Consider the following 5,634-nt stretch of genomic DNA (forward strand, 5'->3'; position numbering starts at 1 on the left):
ATTGTGAATGATACTATTTTTCCACTATATTTTCTAACCAGTTTTGTTAATACATACACAGCTTACTAATTTTTATTAAATCATTCAACATATTTAACTTCTTTTTCTAATAATTTTCAGTTTATTCTCATAGGGGATTTAAAATATATCATCTTTAAATAATAATAACTTTGCTAAATCAGTTTTAATATATTCACAATTGGGACTTAGTAATATATGGGTTTGGTTAGTAGTTTTGTATCACATAGTTTTCTTTTATTTTGAGACAGAGTCTTGTTCTGTCGCCCAGGCTGAAGTGCAGTGGCGCGATCCTGGCTCACTGCAACTCCACCTCGTGGGTTCAAGTGATTCTCCTGCCTCAGTCTCCCTGGTAGCTGGGACTACAGGCACCCACCACCACACCCGGCTAATTTTTATATTTTTAGCAGAGATGGGGTTTCGCCATCTCCTGATCTCAAACTCATGATCTCAAGTGATCCACCCACCTAGGCCTCCCAAAGTGCTGGGATTACAGGCATGAGCCACTGAGCCCAGCCACACATGATTTTCTTTATAGACCCTATTTACAAATTTATGGTCTGAGGTACTGGGGATTAGGACTTTAATATATGAATTTAATTCATTTATTAAGTGCAAGATTGGTGCAAGGTTGGTGTTTGATGATTTCCTCAGTCTTTATTTTGTGACCACCAGTGAATAACCCAAGTATTTGTGTTTTTAAACACCTTTATTTGGTCAAGTATGTCTCATGTCTATAAAAAGTTTTGAATTTATTTTAGCTTAATGTTTGTAGGTGTTTTTTTTTTTTTTTTTTTTTTGCTATTCTAATTATTTTATTTGTTTGTGTGGGTTTAGAATAGCAGAAATTTATTGTCTCCCAATTCTAGAGGCTGTACTTCCAAAATCAAGGGATCCAAAATAGGAGTGTCCGCAGAGCCATGCTCCCTTTAAAGGTACCAGGGAAGGATCTGCTTCTGGCCTCCTTCCTAACTCCCGGTAGCCTCAGGCGTTCCTTGGGTTTCAGATGGCAGTTTTATCCCTGTCTCTCCCCACATGTCTGTGGTTTCATATCTAGATGTCTCCCTTTTTATAAGGATGGTATAGTCATATAGGATTAGGCCCTACCCTGATAATCTCATTTTAACTTGATTACCTCTGTAAAGACCCTATTTACAAATTTATGGTCTGAGGTACTGGTGGTTAGAACTTGAATATATGAATTTAATTCATTTTTATTATTTTGAAATCATTTCATACTTAGAAAAGATGTAGGAATACCATTGTGAATGCCCATAATCTTCATACCCACATTCACCAGTTTTTAACATTTTCCCATATTTGCATTATAATTCTCTGTTTCTGTCTCTTCACTCCTACCTGTACACACACACACACACACACACACACACTTTTAAGAGTGAGGTTGTATATATTATGCCCCTTTACCCTTACTATTTCAGTTTCCTTTTTTTTTTTTTTTTTTGAGACGGAGTCTCGCTCTGTCGCCCAGCCTGGAGTGCAGTGGCAGGATCTTGGCTCACTGCAACCTCCACCTCCCCAGTTCAAGCAATTCTCCTGCCTCAGCCTCCCGAGTAGCTAGGACTACAGGCGCGTGCCACCACGCTGGGCTAATTTTTTGTATTTTTAGTAGAGACGGGGTTTTGCCATGTTAGCCAGGATGGTCTCGATCTTCTGACCTCATGATCCACCTGCCTCGGCCTCCCAAAATGCTGGGATTACAGGTATGAGCTACTGTGCCCAGCCTTCAGCTTTCATTTTCTAAGGACATGGATATTCTGTGTAATCATTCTTCAGTTATCAAATTCAGGGAGTTTAACATTGAGGCGGCACTTTGATCTGCAGTCTGTATTCCAGTTTTGTCAGTTGGCCCAACTGAGGTGTTTTTTTTTTTTTTTTAAAGCATTTTTCCCTTCCAGTGGAGGATTCAATCTGGAGTCACATATTGCATTTGGTTGTCCTGCCTCTTTAATCTCCTTCTCTCTGAAGCAGTTCCTTAGCCACCTGTTGTGTTTCATGACATCAACATTTTTGAAGAACACCAGGCCAGTTATTTTCTAGAATATTCCTCACTTTGGGCTTGGCATTTTCTCATTATTAGATTCAGGTGATGCATCTCTGGCCAGAAGTCTACATAAATGACGACGTGTCCTTCTAGGGTATCAGAAGCATACTATGTCTGTCCTACCTGTCATTGGTCATGTTAATTTTGATTACCTGGTCAAGGTGTTTTCCAGTTTCTCTTCTCTATAATTACTGTTTTCCCTCTTGTAACTAGTAAGCAGTCTGTGGGGAGAAACTTCAAGACCACACAAATTTCTTATTCCTCATAAAATTCACTGCTCCCCTGCAGATTTAATTGGTCTTGACTATTTATAGTTGTAGAATGGTGATTTTTCCACTTTCATCACTAGTTCTACATTTATCATTCTGAATTCTGTAAGAACCCTTCTTACTCCCTTATGTATGTATTTGATTTATCTATTTAGTTGTCATCACTATGGAGTGATAGACTCCATTTCGTTCAATGAGTTATAGTCCTTATGGATTTTTTTCATCAGGGTCTCACTCCTGTTGCCCAGACTACAGTGTGGTGGTGCGATCACAGCTCTCTACAGCCTTCACCTCCCAGACTCAGTTGATCCTCCCATCTCAGCCTCCCAAGTAGCTGGAACTACAGGTGCACACCACCAAACCTGACGAAATTTTTTTTTTTAAAGTATAAATGGGGGTTTCACCATGTTGGCCAGGCTTGATACTCCTGGGCTCAAGGGATCTGCCTGTGTCGGCCTCCCAAAGTCCTGGGATTACAGGCATGAGCCACTGTACCTGACCAGCCCTTATGTTTTCTGAGGTTCATGTTGTCCCAGATTTTGATAGCGGGAGTCTCTTCATTCCGGCTCTCGTGTCCTTTGGATATGGCCTTGTCATTTTTTCTTCCCTTTAAAAAAAAATAAAGAGCACTTCTTTATGCCATAGTGATGTTCCAGGCTTCTATAGGACCTTCTTTGCCCCATCCCCAGAATCAGTCATGTCTCTAAGGAGCCCTGGTTTCTGTTAGTGGGATTCAATATATAGAAACCAAGATCTGGGTCTTAGGTGTTCTCATTGATACTGGGGTGTCATTGGTTCTAGCCACTTTCAACAAATGTATCTAGGAAATAGACTATTATTTTTTAACATACTATCTTTAAAATCATTTTTAGTTTATACTAATACTTCTAATTCTAAACCAACCCCTCAGGATTTTTTTGGCCTTTCCCCAGTCCATTTCATTCTAATTTCATTTCCAGTTTATTTTTAATTTAAAAAAATTGAAGTATAATTTATGGATTTGTGTATTTAGTGAAATGCATAGTTCTTTTTTGACTTACTTGTTTATCTGACACAGAATCTCTCTCTCTCATCCAGGCTGGAGTGCAGTGACATGATCATAGCTCATTGTAGCCTTGAACTTCTAGGCTCAAGCGGTCCTCCTGCCTCAGCCTCCTGAGTAGCTGGGGTTACAGATGTATGCCACCATGCCTGGCAGATTTTTAAATTTTTTGTGTAGAGACAGAGTCTTGCTATGTTGGCTAGTCTGGTCTTGAATTCCTGGCCTCAAGCAATTCTCCTACCTCAGTCTCCCAAAGAGCTGGGATTACAGGCATATGCCACCATGCCCAGTCCCCATCTTTCTTATGTATTCCGTTTAATCTGTTTTGACAGTGCATACGCTTCTGTAATCTCTATCAAGATACTGTTCTATAGTTGTGGTTTTTTTTCCTTTTGAGACGGAGTTGCACTCTGTTGCCCAGGCTGGAGTGCAGTGGCACTGTCTTGGCTCACTGCAACCTCTGCCTCCTGAATTCAAGCAGTTTTCCTGCTTTAGCCTCCCTACAAGCTGGGATTACAGGCGCACACCTCCATGCCCGGCTAATTTTTGTATTTTTAGTAGAGACGGGGTTTCACCATGTTGGTCAGGCTGGTCTTGAATTCTTGACCTCAGGCAATCCACCCACCTCAGCAGAACTCATTTGGGCCTGTTGTTTTCTGTTTTGGAAGGTTACTGCTTACTGATGCAATATCTTTAATAGATATAGGCCTATTTGGATTATCTATATCTTCTTGTGTGAGTTTTGGCATATTGTGTCTTTTAAGGAATTGATCCATGTCATCTAAATTATCAAATTTTTAATCATGTTTGTTCATAATATTCCTTTATAATCCTTTTAATGTACATTTAGAAGGGATCTGTAGTGATCTTTTTTTTCATTTCTGATACTAGCTATTTGTGTCATCTTTTTAATTAATTGGCTTAGCTAAAGGCTTATCAATTTTATGATCTTTTCAAAGAACCAGCTTTTAGTTTTTCTTACTGATTTCCTATTTTCAGTATCATTGATACTATTATATTTTTATTTCTTTTATTCCACTTACTTTGGATTTAATTTGCTCTTTGTTTTCTATTTTCCAAAGGTGGAACTGTGAGCTTTGGTCCATTCAACTTATTTCATGTAACGTCAATTCACCGAAAGAGTTAAGAGATTTGAAGCAATGGCCTGAGTTTGAATCCTAGTTCTCCACTCATTGACAAACCACTTGTCCTGTCTGAACCCTATCTCCCATAAAATGGAAGAAGGATATTACTTAAGTTATGAGATTGCTTGAAATTCAGTTACAATGTGGGTGAAAACTGATTTTAAACTGTGAAGTGCTACAGTTTTGATATTATCACTTCCTTAAATGTACAAAGATTATTTCTTTACAATCACCATTGGAATTTTGCCTCAATTTATGGTCAAACTTTGTCTGGTTTTCAGTTTCCAGAATTTCCATCTCTCACCTGCTACCCAAATCAGGATGGCTACCAAACCTGCCCATCTTCAGTAATCTTTCGTTTCTCTGATTCATCACAGGTTACTTATAGGGATCCAGTTATCTTCCCTGAATGTTTCTCAGTATTTGAATTGTAAATTATAATCCTGTCTTGGAACAAAAGAACTTGAACTCATATTGAGTCCTGTGCTCACCTATCTGTTTTGATCTTCTTTTATTATGAGTCGTTCATTCATTGTGAAAAATCTCATTTCAGTGATAGGGAAGGCAAAAAAAATCAGTCTCCTGACTTTTTTCCTCTCCTGTTTTATTAAAATTATAAAATATGCATAACATAAAATTTACCATCTTAACCATTTTAAAGTATACAATTCCAGTTGCATTAAGTATATTTACAGTGTCATGGAATTATCACTACTATGTATTTTCAGAACTTTTTCATCATCCCAAACAGGCCCCCCTCCCTTTTTTTTTTGAGACAGGGTCTCACTCTGTCACCCAGGCTGGAGTGCAGTGGCACAATCATAGCTCACTGCAACCTCCACTTCCCATGCTCAAGCGATTCTCCCACCTCAGCTTCTCAAGTAGCCGGGACTACAGGTGCGTGCCATCACACCTAGCTAATTTTTGTATTTTTATTTTGCCGAGATGCGGTTTTGCCATGTTGCCCAGTCTGGTCTTGAATTCCTGGGCTCAAGTGATCCTCCTGCCTCAGTCTTCCAAAGTCCGGGGATTACAGGAGTAAGGCACCACACCCGACCTCTTTTTTTTTTTTTTTTTCTCTTTTTTCTTTTTTTA

At 39.0% G+C, this 5,634-nt stretch overlaps 1 protein-coding gene across 35 annotated transcripts in view; it reads left to right on the top strand.

Moving 5' to 3' along the window:
* The window catches only part of BMPR1A (bone morphogenetic protein receptor type 1A), a 177,082-nt gene that overhangs the window by 48,234 nt on the left and 123,214 nt on the right, over positions 1–5,634 (top strand). The window lies entirely within an intron of this gene.

This window comes from Homo sapiens, chromosome 10, assembly GCF_000001405.40.
Source record: "Homo sapiens chromosome 10, GRCh38.p14 Primary Assembly".
In the NCBI taxonomy this organism is placed as follows: Eukaryota; Metazoa; Chordata; class Mammalia; order Primates; family Hominidae; genus Homo; species Homo sapiens.